Source organism: Homo sapiens, chromosome 7 (assembly GCF_000001405.40).
Source record: "Homo sapiens chromosome 7, GRCh38.p14 Primary Assembly".
Classification (NCBI taxonomy): Eukaryota; Metazoa; Chordata; class Mammalia; order Primates; family Hominidae; genus Homo; species Homo sapiens.
Genome location: NC_000007.14, coordinates 135,637,643 through 135,654,951, shown reverse-complemented (window position 1 = coordinate 135,654,951; position 17,309 = coordinate 135,637,643). Strand labels below are relative to the sequence as shown.

General features: G+C 41.1%; 1 protein-coding gene and 2 pseudogenes across 2 annotated transcripts in view; all 3 read right to left on the bottom strand.

The window, feature by feature from the left end:
• Positions 1,647–3,118, bottom strand: LOC101027084 (MAX pseudogene; annotated as a pseudogene).
• LOC124901801 (protein max-like) lies at positions 3,400–4,491 on the bottom strand (annotated as a pseudogene).
• Positions 6,199–17,309, bottom strand: part of NUP205 (nucleoporin 205) — a 90,837-nt gene continuing 79,726 nt past the window's right edge. For both annotated transcript variants that reach the window (NM_001329434.2, NM_015135.3), the window contains exons 37-43: positions 16,893–17,021; positions 16,269–16,395; positions 11,594–11,760; positions 9,934–10,057; positions 9,356–9,484; positions 8,721–8,794; positions 6,199–6,548 (exon numbers count right to left, since the gene is read on the bottom strand). In NM_001329434.2, the coding sequence (NP_001316363.2) occupies positions 6,396–6,548; positions 8,721–8,794; positions 9,356–9,484; positions 9,934–10,057; positions 11,594–11,760; positions 16,269–16,395; positions 16,893–17,021 (903 nt within the window). In that variant the 3' untranslated portion in view covers positions 6,199–6,395. The remainder of the gene's footprint in view (positions 6,549–8,720; positions 8,795–9,355; positions 9,485–9,933; positions 10,058–11,593; positions 11,761–16,268; positions 16,396–16,892; positions 17,022–17,309) is intronic.

Below are 17,309 nucleotides of genomic sequence, written 5' to 3'. Positions count from 1 at the left end.
ACAACAGAGTGAGACTCTGTCTCAAAAAATAAAAAAAAGGGATAACTAAATATAATGTGGTTTTTTTTTTTGTTTGTTTGTTTGTTTTTTTGAGACGGAGTCTTGCTCTGTCGCCCAGGCTGGAGTGCAGTGGCGCGATCTCGGCTCACTGCAAGCTCCGCCTCCCGGGTTCACGCCATTCTCCTGCCTCAGCCTCCCGAGTAGCTGGGACCACAGACCCCTGCCACCACGCCGGGCTAATTTTTTGTATTTTTAGTAGAGACGGGGTTATCACCGTGTTAGCCAGGATGGTCTCGATCTCCTGACCTCGTGAACCGCCCGCCTCGGCCTCCCAAAGTGCTGGGATTACAGGCGTGAGCCACCGCGCCCGGCCAATGTGTGATTCTTAATTGGATCCCGGGTTAAAAAAAAAAAAAAAAGTTATAAAGTGCATTTTTGGGACAATTGAGGAAATTTTAATGGACAGATTAGATATTTTTATTGTATTTTATTGTCAAATTTCTTGGATATGATAATGGTGTTGTGGTTAGGAAGGAAAATATCCTTGTTCTTACTTGTTAAAATATTTAGCAAGTAAGTGTCATCATATTTAGTAAGTGTCATAGTGTCTACAATTTAGGGAAGAAAACTAGCATATATATATATACACACACACAAAAAAAGCAAATGTGCAAACTGTTGACAACTGGCGAATCTAGGTGAAAACTGTATGGGTTCATGGTACCTTTCTTCCAACTCTTTTGAAGATTTAAAATTGTTCAAAATAATTGGGAAGGCCGGGTGCTGTGATCCCAGCAGTTTAGGAGGTGGAGGCAGGCAGATCACCTGAGGTCAAGGAGTTGGAGAACAGCCTGGCAAAGAAGGTGAAACCTCATCTCTACTAAAAATACAAAAACTAGCCGATCATAGTGGCGAGCACCTGTAATCTCTGCTACTTGGAAGGCTGAGGTAGGAGAATCACTTGAACCCGGGAGGCGGAGGTTGTAGTGATCTCAGACTGTGCCACTGCACTCTAGCGTGGGCGACAGAGCAAGACTTAGTCTCAAAAAATAAATAAATAAATAAATAAATAAATAAATAAATAAAGTTGAGAAAACACTAGACAAATATTTAGAAAAGATTATGTTGTATATTAACAGCTGTTACAGCCCAGATTAAGTTCAGACATAATTTCTATATTACTAACTGACCAAAACTACAGTAGTAATGACTAGGAAGAGAGTATGTACCTCTTTTTGATTTTCTAACCCACCAAACTGATTCACTCAGTAAAAATGCCATATTTAAATCCTGCATTTATTTAAAATTTAAATGTAGCTTTTCAAAACAAACTATCCAACACTGGTTTTATCCTCTCTGCTTGCTTCGGTGAAGAGTGCGTGCTGCACCTGGCGCCCTCTCTCCATGCCCCAGGTAACAGAATGCAGAGGTCAGGCTGAATGTCAGCCTCTCCCCGCTGTGTCACACAAACATTTCTGGTCAGCAGTATGATGCAGCTGCAGGCCTGCCCGCCTCTCCCTCCCACACACTTCTCCACTGCCCCCGATTCTGATCCACAGTCAGTGGTAATTTGGGACAAAATGATAAGAAAACAATATGAAACACAGTAAATCCAAAATCTTTATTTTTTTAAGACTATAGTCTTGTAGTCTGATAGTAAAGGGAGGAAGCCTTAACTTGCAAGGATATGTACAACATACTTTTTATTTCTATGGAATGGAATCAAACCCAGACAGAGACTACAGAATATATACTAGAAATTAGCAAATGCCAGGAACGGAGCAGGAAAAAGACAAATGAGGCCTAAACACACAAAACCCTTCACTGGGATCTGTTGACTGCAGCCAGAACCAGGGCTGGATCACACAATGGAGGCAGGTACCAGGGCCGCAGGAAGGGAAGTAGCTGGGGCAGGGAAAGGCCCACACTGGGATACCGGTTTAGCACCAGGTAAATCACTCTTGGTATTTATATACAAAATCAGTTGGCTCTATTTCTTAGACATACACACAGAAAGCAAGATTTGATCATTACTTTATGAATCTGTCACTTTGCAATACCGGTATTATCAAGAAATAGGGACAACTCACTCAGATTCAAATTTCAGTAGCAGGAAATAAATATCGAAACACCATCATTGGCCCTCAGTACAAAACCTCTACATCACCCAATATTGCCCTCCCTACCCAACCCCAAAGGACCACTCCCTGGTGGCTGCGACTTCACTGCTGCCATCTCCAATACATACCACAGGTGTCATGCAGCCCTCCTTAAGGCTGGCACCGTAGGCTTAAACAATTGGCTGAGAAGCAGGAGAGAAACACGCCAAAGGTTCTGTGCTGCAAACACGACCCCTCTTTTTTTTACACCACAAACTTCTTTAAGGATCTGGTCACTCAATTGGAGGGATAAATAGCTTTTTAGAAAAAGAGAAGAAAGTCTTTAAAAAGGAGAAAGTGTAAATCTGATTACTCCAAACCAGTCATCTTTTTTTTTTTTTTTTTTTTTTTTGAGATAGAGTCTCGCTCTGTCACCCCGGCTGGAGTGCAGTGGCACAATCTCAACTCACTGCAACCTCCGCCTCCCGGGTTCAGGCGATTCCCCTGCCTCAGCCTCCTGAGTAGTTGGGACTACAGGCACGTACCACCACGCCCGGGTAACTTTTGCATTTTTCAGTAGAGACAGGGTTTTGCCATGTTGGCCAGGCTGGTTTTGAACTCCTGACCTCAGGTGATCCGCCCGCCTCTGTCTCCCAAAGTGCTGGGATTACAGGCGTGAGCCACCATGCCCGGCCCAGTCATCTTCTTAAAGTCATCTTCTTAAGAGCAGTTCACAGATTCTCAAAGTCTGTTAAACAGAGGTGAGCATGGACCTGGAGGCAGCCTGGGTGGGGCAGGTGTCCTCCAGGCATGTGCCTGGGCAGGGCTGCAGGAGCTGGTGGAGTGGGCAGGATACTGTGCTCAGAGGTCAGGCTGGCCATCTGTCCTCCACAGAAAAAGCTGCCAAGCTAGGGTGTTTTGGTCTAAAAATTCTTGGTGGAGACAGGGAATCCCTGAAGGGAACACTTTTTTTTTTTTTTAAGTTATAGTAGAAATGGGGAAGGAGGACAAGAGCTTTTTTGGGGGGGTGGGGTAGGGAGGGGGCTGGAGTGCAGTGGTGCCATCTAGGCTCACCGCAACCTCCATATCCTGGGCTCAAGCAATTATCCTGCCTCAGCCTCCGGAGTAGCCAGGATTACAGGCGTGCACCACCACGCCAGGCTAATTTTTGTAATTTTAGTAGAGACAGGGTTTCACCATGTTGGCCAGGCTGGTCTCGAACTCCTGACTTCAACTGATCTGCCCGCCTCAGCCTCCCAAAGTGCTGGGATTACAGGCGTGAGCCACTGTGCCAGGCCCCAAGAGCTTTTACATAAAAATTTAAAAAACAATTTTTAAGGGAGAAAGAGAAAAATAGTCTCTCAAATGGTTCTGAGGAAACGGAAAGGAGGATGATGGAGACAGTGTTTATTGCTGGCCTGCCCTGAGTAACTCAGCTGGCCTCCATCTGGAGTTTCTTCCTACTTCAGGCCTCTTCAGGCTCCAACTCTGAGCTGCAGTCGGAGCCCCCATCAAAGGCAGAGGTGGTGCTGCCCTTGGCATTGGTGTAGAGGATGCTGTCTGAGGAGGGATAGTTGGCCTGTGGCTGGGCACTTGACCTCCCCTTCGGTGCACGGACTTCCTCCTTCAGAAGAGCATTCTGCCGCTGAGGTCATCAATATCTCAGTGGCGTGTGGTTTTTCCCTTCGCATATGCTGGATATACTCTATGGCCTTCTCTCCTTGGAGTGTTGGGACTGCGTCCCACAAACTGGAGGCTGCCTTTGATGTGGTCCCTACGATTTCATTCCAGTGCATTATGATGGGCCCATTCGTCAGCCGCAGATTGAAATCTCTGTTGTTGCTTGTCACTCTCCACCCCGACGTCATCATTATCACTCACTTCCTACAACCCAGGGAGCAGCCACTGCAGCAGCAGTAGTCGGGGAGGCGGAGGGATAGAGGAATCTGAGGAAGTCACTGACAAGAAGCAGAGTTCCCCTGCCTACACACACACACTCACTTGCTCTCACTCACATAAAACACAGGCAAGAACCACCTCCTCACTCCTAAAATCCCAGTTCAAAATTTAGCTATATGTCTTGTCTGTTAAGAAGGCTTCATACTTCAGAAGTTTATAAAATGCTTTGATTTCACGCCTAGGCTCTTTGCTAATCATTTCTAGGTTCATACCTGTGCTCCAGATGACAGAGATAACCATATGCCTGACCAGTGGAGCACTATGCACTGTAACTACATTTTGGATCCATTTATTTATTCTTTCACATCCAGGACTTTTATTTATTAACAGAATGTTTTCCAGCTAATGTTTATATCTGGTGGGCGGTAAATTAATTACAAAATATAACACTGACAAAGCCTTTATATTTTTCTTTTTTTAAACCTGACAGCATAACTTCCTCTAAGATAAAGATGTTTTAAAGATGCTTGAAGGCCAGATGCAGTGGCTCATGCCTGTAATCCCAGCACTTTGGGAGGCTGAGGCAGGCAGATCCCTTGAGGCCAGGAGTTTGAGACCAGCCTGGCCAACATGGTGAAACCCCGTCTCTACTAAAAATACATTAGCTGGGCATGGTAGCACACGCCTGTAATCTAGCTACTCGGGAGGCGCAGGCAGGAAAGTCACTTGAGTCCGGGAGGTGGAGGTTGCAGTGAGCCACGATCATGCCACTGCACTCCAGCCTGGGTGACAGAGTAAGACCCTATCACCAAAAAAAAAAAAAAAAAAAAAACCACAAAACCCAAAAACCAACGCTTGGAAGCCATAGAAGTTTTATTGTAAGCATTTAAAAACAACAACAACAACACTAGGCTGGGCGCGGAGACTCACGCCTGTAATCCCAGCACTTTGGGAGGCCAAGGTGAGCGAATCACAAGGTCAGGAGATTGAGACCATCCTGGCCAACATGGTGAAACCCCGTGTCTACTAAAAATACAAAAATTAGCTGGGTGTGGTGGCGCACACCTGGAGTCCCAGCTACTCGGGAGGCTGAGGCAGAAGAATCGCTTGAACCTGGAAGGCAGAGGTTGTGCTGAATCGAGATCATGCCACTGTACTCCAGCCTGGTGACAGAGCAAGACTCTTTCTCAAAAACAAAACAAAAAACAAAACAAAACAAAAAAACACTATGACACTATAGAATAATTATCAATTTTATTCTATAGTGTTATAGCGTTTATTCTGTTACTAAATGAAAGCAAAGACTTCCTCTCAGCAGTCTCTCCTATGTATTAGGCTGAAGTAATTGCTGTCTGGAAAAGGAAATTTGCAGTTTCGGATGATGTAGTTACTTGAACATGAAAACAACTGGGTAAGAAATAGAGTGGTGATCATGTAAATGTTTTGTCCTAGTGATAGCCATCATATTAATTATATGAGAAATATTGGCAGATGATTAATTTGAGAAATTTCACAATCATTTCTAAGGAACAAACACAAATTACTGTAGAGTCAGCTCTCCATATCCCCACGTTCAAAATCTGCAGATTCAACCAACCACAGATCACAAATATTTGGGGGGGAAAAAACCAGTGTAACAGCAAAAAATAATACAAATTTAAAAACGTAGTATTAACCACTATTTATATAGAATTCATATTATATTAGGTATTGTAAGTAATCTAGAAATGATTTAAAGTATACAAGAAGATGTATCTATATTATATGCAAACACAATGCCATTTTATATAAGGAACATGCATGCCAAAACATAGGTTTTGGTATCCGTGGGAGCCCTAGAACCAGTAATCACCAGATACCAAGGGACAATTGTATTGTCAACTTACGTGCAGAAAAGAAAAAAACAAAAAAAAGGAAAACCTAAATAATTTTAGGAAAAAGCTTGACTTTTTCAGACATTTTCACAGTATTGAGTACACTATTCTATAAGAGCATGGCTATATTTTAGTAACCCTGAATATTGTTAATAGTGTAATGTAGCTACAAAGGGTGAAAAAATTAGAATTTTCAGACTATGCCTTTAATCTGGCATTCAGAATAATATCTCTATGGGAAAATCACCACTGTTGAAGGTTTATTTGTTAGATTCCTGATAATGCTGATCAAAAGATAAAAGATCAAAAGATTAACCATACATTTGTTTTGTTTTTTTAAAAAGTATTTATTTTTTACTAGTGAGGATGGAACTAGGGGAAGAAGTTTACAGAAAAGATGTCCATATACAAAGAAAGAAATAGCAAAATATTTTTGGTCATAATTTAGAAAGAAACTAATCTATAAAATGGAGACAATTCTCCCCAATTCATCTCTCTCATAGAAGAGCATAAGCACGGGCTCTCAGTTCCTTGATATCCTCAAGAGGCCACGGATACGTCTGACAAGAGCCTGTATGAAACTATATCGAGATCGAACTTTTGAATATAATCCTTCAATGTCCAGAAGTTTCTTTTGTAGTGATTCTCCAAAAGCGTTGATTGCATCAGCCTGAAGCTAGCGGTGACACAAAAGACATTTTGTTAAAATTGTTGTCTCAAATATTTCTTTTATTCTAAGTCTTCCAATTTAAAACACTTTAGAATTTTTGTAATGTGGTTCTTTCAATGTAAATACTTTTGAATTTTTGTAATGTGTTACTAAATTAACTAAACATTCACATTTTCTACCTTAGAATTTTTTGGTTTAATTCTCATGTTTTTCCTGCTTTCTTTTCTTGTATAAATTTAAAAACCTGCTTTAAATAGCAATGAATGTTGATGCTGATGCTGATATACTAACATACACACAAAAACATTTCCTGAAGGGCCATACAAGAAGTCAGTAAGACTGGCGGGGGAGGGAGGGAAGGAGAATGCAGGGAAGGAAGGGAGGGAGGGAGGACAGGAGGGTAGGTGGGAAAGAAGCTTTTACTTTTTACTTCATTTTGCAATTTTTAAAAACCCACTTGCATGCTTTTGTTTTCAAAAAATATTAATGTGGGGATACACCTGTTATATGCTTTAGAATTCATATATATTCTAGAATGCATATGTAGTTTCAGATGGATCTTTTTGATGTTATACTAAAAGACTAAAATTAAGTACAATATTAGATCAATCTACCTGTTTTCAGTTTTGCATTAAAATCACAACACAGAGTGTGAGATTATTTATTAATCCTGCATTTTTTTCTAGCTTTTTCACAAAGCAGTCTAAATGAAATAGTAACAGTTATTACTTCAAAATATATTTATTTTTGTTGTCCTAGCTACTCAGGATGCTGAGGCGGGAGAATCACTTGAGCCCAGGGGGTTGAGGCTGCAGTGAACTGTGGTCACACCACTGCATGCCAGCCTGGGTAATGGAGTGAGACCTTGTCTCTCAGACAAAACAAACAAACAAACAAACTTCTGAATAATCTTCTTTGGCTAATTTTGCACATGGCCTCAATTAACACTAGTTCTCCTAAACAAGCCTAGCCACAAAACGAATTCCTTTTATAAAGTCACTAAGGGGCGAATGTAGTCTGGATTGGGATGGGAGCGTGGTATTCATGATATCCAGCAAGCTGTGCTTTGGAGGCTGCTGTAACTGCACCTTTCATTCCCAACCTTGTTTTAAGAAAAATAGCAAAAAGAGGGATTTGGGAGGAGCAGAGGCTTTATCAAATCATGGCTAAGGACATTCAGATGGCTAGCAGAGGATCTAGCTGTAATTCATTTTCCCTAACATCACACACCCTGATACCTGCTTTGTTAGAAACATAACTTTGCTATTAGTTTAATATGAGGTTTTCATTGTAATTGTTTTTGGCATACTCTTCATTCATTCTAACACTACTGATCAACAGGTTAGTAAGAGCACAGTGTTGTGTACTATGGTCTATGACGGCGGGATTTGTATTGGCTGCTCTCAATCTCACCATTAAATTATTTCCTGAAAAATAAGTGCTGAGTGATACTTTGTACCTAAAAAGTTCTACAAAGCTAATCAAAAGACATCAGGAGTTTCCAGATCATAATGCCTACCAATCACGGAATGCTTACCATGTTCTAGGTACAACACTAGCAGCCTCACATACATGAAACCTCACTTAATTCTGACAAAACCCTCTGAGGTTGAATCCTCCTATTTCTTAGATGAAGCAATTGAGGCTCGGAAGTTAAGTAAGTTGTTCAAAGTCATATAGCTGTTAAAATGGTCAAGCTAGAGTTCAAACCAGGTGTCTGTAAGCAACCCTGAAAATCATAATCTTATTAACATACCAGGCTTTCCTTTTTACTTACTTACTTACATTCATTCATTTATTTATTTATTTATTGGAGACAAGGTCTTGCTTCACTCTTTCATTCATTTATTGGAGACAAGGTCTTGCTCTGTTGCCCAGGCTGGAGTGCAGTGGTGCAATCACAGCTCACTGCAGCCTCAGTCTCCCAGGCTCAGGTGATTCTCCCACCTCAGCCTCCCAGGTAGCTGTGACTACAGGTGCATGCCACCACAGTATGCCAATTTTTTTTTTTAAGAGACGGGGTCTCACTATGTTGCCCAGACTGCTCTCAAACTCCTGGGCTCAAGCAATCCTCCCGTCTCGGCCTCCCAAAATGCTGGGATTACAGATGTGTACCATCACACCCAGCCCTTTTACTTTAATGAAGAAAAATAAAAGAATATGAGAATAGAACCTTACCTGGTCTAAATCATGTTGGCTCACTATAGCCAGCCCACTTCTAAAATCTAGATTGGTTTCTGAGGCGAAGGAATCTAGAGATAAAAAAACAGAGTCATACCGGCTGTGCAAGTACCTATCTACCACACAGTGGAGGAACCTGATGACAATGAATAATAACAATAGCACCATGAAAAACACGGCTCAAGATTGGGAACTCAATTTTCAACTTTTAGCAAATGGAAGCCCCTAGAAAGCATTTCACTGGTCCAGACCAGGGTTCTCAGCTTTTCTCTATTTCCTTCCACCTAAGGGATCCAATATATGGCCATCAGTCACAGAGGCCCACTCCAGCAATAAGAATCAGCATAATAGCAGACCTCCTCCATTCTTCTAGAGCTGGATCAGCCCCCTAACTGCAGCAAGAAGCTAAGGAACAGCTGATGAGCAGGCTCTAGAATATTCTTATGCTCAGCACAATGTCCCGTGAACAGAAAGTAAAATGCAAGAAATAGCTACGTCTAGTGACTAAACAGCTCTTGATTCACCCAATTCACTCTAAGTAATCTGGAAACAAAAATAAAAAAAAACTGGTACTAGCTTTTCAAGGCACAAATAGGTATTTATGGTTCATTAATTTTTAGCAGAAAGTTTACCTTGCAGTCTTCTGCTTTTAAACAAGGTTCTCGAGGCAAATAAGGAATCTTGAGAATCCGTGGGCATGCAATGTAACAAGTAGTACTCCAGATGGCGCCAAAGAATAAATAGGCAGGTCTCTATGATAACTATACCAGAGCTCAGATTAAAGGAACATAATCTCATCAAATATGTTTTACACACCAGTTTCGGAGGAGAAGAAAAAAGGACAGACTGCACTCACTTAATGAGGTACCCACAGCCTCAGTCTAACAGACAGGGTCTCACTGAAGGCTCCTCAAGAGGAAGCAGCAAGGTGTGCTGAGGAAAGAGGTGGGGACCTTGGGGTCCTGTGCCAGCAGTCTCATGTCCCTACCTTCTTCCCTAACAGAAAGTGCCCATGTATTTTATCAGTATTACCAGCTACTCTAAAAGATAAGAACAAAAACTATGATTTGGAAATACATTAGGCATTTACTGGGAAAAAATTAAGTTTATCTCCTTCCACCTGGTTTTGGTGCCCAAATAATATGAGAATAAGTGAACAGTTCCTATATTTCAAGGTCATCATTCAAGTGCATGATTTCATAAAGGATACAAGAACAAAGGGAAAGCAGTTTAGCTCGATTGTTGATCACCTTCACCAAGCGCCGTCTTGCTAGAACATATTTCTGAGCAGTGGAGATTTTATCAACACCAGCAGGCATCACAGACTGACACAACTAGAAGAAACAAATGTGGTATTAGAATGACATCAACTGGAATGAAATTTTTAATGAAAAACTACTATCAGCAGGTCACCATGATAAATGCTATGAAAAACACTCAAATTTAAACATCCTTGCAGATAAGAGTTTTTATCTAAGAAGCTAGCAATTTTTAAAAATTACAGCCAAAGAAGCAAATTCACAAATGAACATTTATCTGCTGCCTTTTGAAAAAGTCTGTCCCTGAAACACAGTCAGGGTTGCTGATGAAACCCTGAATTTCCTGTCACATTAAAACAAACCAAGACAAAATGATAGGTTTTTCAAACAGTAGCTATAACAATCCCATGGAGAATTTCTAACAGTTGTCAGGTATCTTCTGCAAAAAATACAAGGTAGACACCTAGAGCATAACTAAAATCTGATCATCAACCAAAGCTCCCATGACCACTTCTCAATGTGGCACACACACAAGCACAGTTGTTCCAGCTAATGTTCTGATGCTGGGTTCCACAGAAGGCGTACTGAAGTGAGGCTGATGGAAGGCCACGCGCTTCATGATGATGATGCAATTCCTCTTACAAGTACAAACATCACTGATTAGCTACACATTAGAGGAAGGACTGCCAGGCATGAACCCAAAATTTCAGGGGTTACCTAAACCCAGTCATTGACTCCTGCCTCACCCTGTTCCTGCCAGCTACATGCCTTTGGGTAAGTTATGCAAGTCTTCTGTGCCTCAGTTTCCTCACATGAGAAATGAGAATAGAAACAATATCTGCCCGGGTGTTAGGTAGAACATGTAGTTCAGGGCCTGGCATGTTGTAGACACTCAATAAATGTCCCCTGAGTTTACCAGAAAAGTGGCAAGAGGGAGTAGGCATGGACTACTCATAAGAGTAACATGGAAGTTTTTAGAAAACTTGGTGCAAACCAGGAATGACAAAGTGGCTCAACATTCAGGCTGCGACAGGACACCAGGAAGCTTCAGCACTGCCTTAGGAACTGGCCAAGAGATGCCTTACATTCAGCTGTGCCAAATGGAAAAGGCAGCAAGCTACTTAGTAGCAATCCTGGTAATGCAGCATCTTTAGTTATTAATACTGTAAGTAGAGGGAATGCTTCTGGGTCACTGAGGGAAGGCAGTCAAGTCTCATATGCTATCCCATTTGTTTGAAAGATTTGCTAAACAGATATTGAAGATGCTGAAGGCACAGAGACATTTACCCAAGTTCTATTAAAAAAAAAATCTGTAACAGAAGCCTTTCTCAGAACAGATTTTAGAGTATAAATGACCCAAAACTCTTCATTCAAAGGCCAGCTGCCTTTCTATTTTCTTGAACAGGTGCTACACTTCACTGTTTTTCAGTCAAGAGTTTCTATGCTTATAAGGCTGGTGCTACGGCGAAGGAGTCTTCTTCAAATCACACAGAAGAATCATTCCAATTCCTTCAGTCATACTGTATACGTTGTCTTTACTCAGTCTGAGTACCCTGGCCTAGTAACAGCAATGATTTCTCAAGTCCCCCCAGCTCATTATAAGATTCGTACCTCTTTTATCTCATCTGGGGGAAGCTGCTCTACATTTTGTAGCTTGCTGACACTCTGTCGATGACTGTCATAATAGCTGAAGAAATCATTAGCACTCTGTTTCAGCAGGTAGATGATAATGCCTAAACCAGGCAGGCGCCAGTATGGAACCACTGGAGCTTGGGTATCTAATAGAGGTGATGACATAAAACAATGTTCCACTTATAAGCATTTCATATGAATTTCAAATGACCTGTTTTAAAACAAGGGATGCCCCAGAATTTAAGGACATGTAACCTGTCATTAAAACCAACCCAAGATTACTTTTAAATGCCATTTATAATTTAAAGAACAAATGGTTAGGAGCCACTGTAATCAGGTACATACATAAGGCTGGAAATCCTGCGAGAATAAAGAAATCTGACTGATGCACATTGGCAGAGCCTACCCTTTATTAGGCAAAGAGTCCTTTGAGAACTCTATCAAAGTATAAACCTTACACACACACACACACACACACACACACACACACACACCCCTCCACATCAAAAACAATATACACAATTGTGGGGTTTCTTAACACCAAGTGACTAATTCCTGCTTTGCCTGATGGCTCTAGTTGTATGGATTCATTTCTGGTCTGCATCTTTCTGGTTACTAAATTGCCAGCTCAAAGTCATTCTTTCAAAGAGACAAGAATAGTAACTGAAATATTCAAAAAATATAAATGGATTTAAACTTTAAAAAATCTTTTGCCACAACAGCTACATTACGGTAGTAAAACAAAATGATCTGCCTTTTACCTGGCTACTGGCTAATGAAGATGCAAAGGAACAGTGGGATGTCATAAAAGTTGTTTGCAGAGGGAAAACTAGAAAGCAATAACAATATTATCCTAGGACAGGCACGGTGGCTCACACCTGTCAACAATTTGGAAGGCTGAGGAGAGAGAATGGCTTGAGGCCAGGAGTTCAAGACCAGCCTGGGCAACAGAGACCCCGTCCCTACAGAAAAGAAAAAAAAAATCATCCTAGAGATAGTCTGTGTAGTGCAATTAGAGCAATCTCCTCTAGTGACTAAGGGATTTCGTGGAAACATTGTGGCAATTTCTTTTTTTTTTTTTTTGAGATGGAGTCTTACTCTGTCATCCAGCCTGGAGTACAGTGGTTCGATCTCGGCTCACTGCAACCGCCACCTCCTGGTTTCAAGCGATTCTCCTGCCTCAGCCTCCCGAGTAGCTGGGATTACAGGCGCATGCCACCACACCCAGTTATTTTTTGCATTTTTAGTAGAGATGGGGTTTCACCATGATGGCCAGGCTGGTCTCAAACTCCTTACCTCAGGTGATCCACCCGCCTCGGCCTCCCAAAGTGCTGGGATTACAGGCACGAGCCACCACACCTGGCCCAACACTGTGGCAATTTCAAGTTCAATTTGGAGATAATCTTTGTTTAATGACCCAAACTGCCATGAATACTGAAGGAGAGATCTACATTTGCTTTTTCTTCACTATCAACTCCCTTAACTTTGCTCTAAAGTCTGACTCATAGATCTTTTTCTTTCTTTCTTGTTTTTTTTTGAGACAGGTTTCTTACTTTGTCACCCAGGCTGGAGTGCAGTGGCACAAATAGGGATCACTGCAACCTCAACCTCCTGGGCTCAGGTGATCCACCTCAACCTCCTGGGCTCAGGTGATCCTCCCACCTCAGCCTCCCAAGTAGCTAGGATTAAAGGTGCACGCCACCACACCCAGCTAATTTTTTTGTATTTTTTGGTAGAGATGAGGTTTTGCCATATTGCCCAGGCTGGTCTCTACCTTCTGGGCTCAAGCAACGTACTGCCTTAGCCTCCCAAAGTGCTGGGATTACAGGCGTGAGCCACCACACCTGGCCAATCTCATACATCTTTATACAGAGGGGAAGAGACAGAAGAGTCCTTTGTCTGTGGATGCTGCCACCAACTAAGACATCCTAGACAAATTCAGTTTGCCAGGTATCCTCTTCTAGTCTACAGCAAGATGTGACAGTTTTCACAATACATTGTTATAGAGAGCCTTCTCCTACTGAAATTAGGTATCCTGGTCCCCAGATAACATTTGTATAATCTCTACCCTGGTAGGAAGATACCCACAAAGAGGATGATTGAATGCTTGGAGGACTCCAAAGCATTTCAGGAATTCTTACCATACTAACTTGCCCAAGTCTAGAAAATATTTGCGCATTCAGAGGCTATCAGGTTTGTATAAACCTTTCCCCTCATGCCTTGGCCTGATTCCAACATGCAGATATTGGAATCCCCCCATGGTGGCCCCTTTTTATCCTATCTTCCTGGCAGCAAACTTTTTTTTTTGTTAGAGGCATGATCTTGGCTCACTGCAGCCTTGAACTTCTGGGCTCATGTGATCCCCCTGCCATAGTCTCCTGAGTAACTGGGATTACAGGCTCAGCCATCATGCCCGGCTCCAAATTTCTGAATACAGGAGAAAACAAGAACTATATAGAATTAACTTGTTTAAGCCAAAGGAACTATTTTACATGTCCAGTCTAATTTAACTATTTTACTCTATAAAATAGAACTACAAATCTTTGTAGCTACTTCCCCAGTTTCTTTAAGACATCCTGTCACCTAAGACTACTCCCTTTCAATCACTGAAAGATACCTTTAAATAAAGGTTATTTTATTAGCTATTAAGGACTTAGTTTGTCTTAATATGACAAACTAAGATTCTACCAGTCAGTACTCTTCTCCCCCATCCATGGCATAAAACGAAAAAGCCTAGACATAATACAAACAGAAGCAGACACTGGTAGGAGAAGGCAGAGATTTTGTGACAAAAATCAGAATAGTAGATGCCTGGGCCGGAGTGGAAGGAAACAATCAAATGCAATCAAAGGCAGGAAGAAATCTTTAAGGAACAGGGAATTGTTCTGTATTTTGGCTGTGGTGATGGTTACCCAACTTTATATAATTACCAAAAAGCATTCAAACTGTATACCTAAAATGGGTGAATTTTGTTGTACATAAATTACAACAACAACAAATTTAATACTACTAGCTAGGACCTTTTATAATAGAATTTATCTAACAAAGTTCTTAGCATAATTTATATAGGATAAGGTTGAATGTTGCTAAACTAATATATTTTTCTTTTTTTCTTTAACTTGAAGTTCTGGGATACATGTACAGAATGTGTACGTTTGTTACATAGGTATACATGTGCCATGGTGGTTTGCTGCACCTATCAACCTGTCATCTAGGTTTTAAGCCAAACATGCATTAGATATTTGTCCTAATGCTATCCCTCCCCTTGCCCCCTATCCCCTGACAGGCACTGGTGTGTGATGTTCCCCTCCCTGTGTCCATGTGTTCTCATTGTTCAACTTCCACTTATGAGTGAGAACATGTGGTGTTTGGTTTTCTGTTCCTGTGTTAGTTTGCTGAGAATGATGGCTTCCAGCCTCATCCATGTCCCTGCAAAGGACATGAACTCATTCTTGTTTATGGCTGCATAGTATTCCATGGTGTATATGTGCCACCATTTATTTATCCAGTCTATCATTGATGGACATTTGGGTTGGTTCCAAGTCTTTGCTATTGTAAATAGTGCTGCAATAAACATGTGTGCATGTGTTTTTATAGTAGAATGATTTATAATCCTTTGGGTTAAACTAATTTTTTTTTTTTTTTTTGAGACAAAGTCTCACTCTGTAGCCCAGGCTGTAGTGCAGTGGTGTGATCTCAGCTCACCGCAACCTCCGCCTCCTGGGTTCAAGCAATTCTCCTGCCTCAGCCTCCAGAGTACCTGGGATTACAGGCGCGCGCCACTGCACCCGGCTAACTTGTTGTATTTTTAGAAGAGACAGGGTTTCACCATGTTGGCCAGGCTGGTCTTGAACTCCTGCCCTCAGTTAATCTGCCTGCCTCGGCCTCTCAAAGTGCTAGGATTACAGGCGTAAGCAACCACACACCCGGCCACTAATATACTTTTCATAATGTCATTTTATACTATTATTATACTAAACACATATTTTTTGTGATTAAGTAATTTTCAGGGATAGTAAGATCTTGAAGAAGATGAAAATGTGACAAAATTTTTCTCACAGATCTCAAACAAAGACTTCCTGAAATCACCAACAGTCAATTCCATTATCCCCACCAAGATACTAATGGGCTTTTTCTTCTGAGTGTTCCATAGGATAACAGCTTTACCCATTATCCTGCCCCATATTCAAACATTCCCTACTGAATCATTAAAGAATTATAGGGTAAGTTGGCCTAATTAGTATCTAAATTGTATTTCGTTATGTTATAGAAATTTGGAGCTATAATAAAAAACCCAGTTTAGACACTGAATTCAGCTTAACATGATTTAACATATAAAACTGTTTGTTGTATTTTCATCTTTTCCACCCAGCCACCTGACTCCCCAATTTAGATCCTTTGAGCCCTCAAGTGCTATTCAAAACATGGTTCCTCTAGATTTACTCTCAGTAAATCCTGAATTTCTCTATTCTCTCCAGTCTTGTACATAGGTCTAATAATAATACCTCCCGCTCAACTTTAAAACTTATTTAAAATGTTTCCCATTAATGACACTTAAAAGAAAATACTGCATCTTACTGGAGCCAAGCTGGAGAGCTATGTCATAACCATAGCAACTTAGTTCCTTCAATACAGAATGAAAAACTAAGCTCACCTTGCCGCGGTCCATCTCTATTAACTGTTTCTGAAAGGCTAGGAGTGAAGAGACACACAGCATGCTGGAAGGTAGGGGAACTCTGTAACATGAGTGACTGGCAATATTCCATTACATTGGCACAAATCTATAATCAAAAAACAGTAACAAAAATGTTAAGACCCTGAAATGTCTCAATTAGCATGAAAATCGAGATTTGAAGAAGAAAAGGTTATCAATCAATTTGTAAAATGACTCACATCTGTGTATTCTTTTTTTTTTTTTTTTTTCAGATGGAGTCTCCCTCTGTTGCCCAGGCTGGAATGCAGTGGCGTGATCTTGGCTCACTACAACCTCTGCCTCTTGGGTTCAAGCAATTCTCCTGCCTCAGCCACCCCAAGTAGCTGGGCACACAGGCACGTGCCACCATGCCCAGCTAAATTTTTTTTGTATTTTTAGTACACACAAGGTTTCACCATGTTGGCTAGGATGGTCTTCAACTCTTGACCTCAGGTGATCCATCCGCCTTGGCCTCCCAAAGTGCTGGGATTATAGGCGTGAGCCACCGCACCAGGTCCACATCTGTTATTTTTATCAACATTTTCCAAAAACATAAAAACCTTAGAGAAGTCACATGGTTCTTACCTGCTGCATAGCCAGTTCAATCTCATCTTTCTTGCTTACTTTATCTCCCTCCACATTATCGTCTTGAAATTTAAACTGACGCAGTCTGTCAGAGCCACCAAAGCGACTTAGTAGTCCTAAGCACTGGCGCTAACAAGAAAAAGATATCTTGTTAAATGTATTTAAAATTAGTAACCTCTCTTTCTTGAGGGATAGAAACAAGAAAAACTCAGTGGAGAATGGAATCAGTCCTTAAGGCATCTAATATCTTACTTAAAACTGAGCCAACTAAAAGTAGCATTATTAAAATTCAACTTTTTGCAAAGGTATTTGATTGGTAGCTAACAGATGAAAAGAGTACCCTTTTTTTTTAAAGCAATAAATCCCAGTATCATCTAAATGTTTGCCAAATAACTTTCTGCATTATATCAAAGTAGG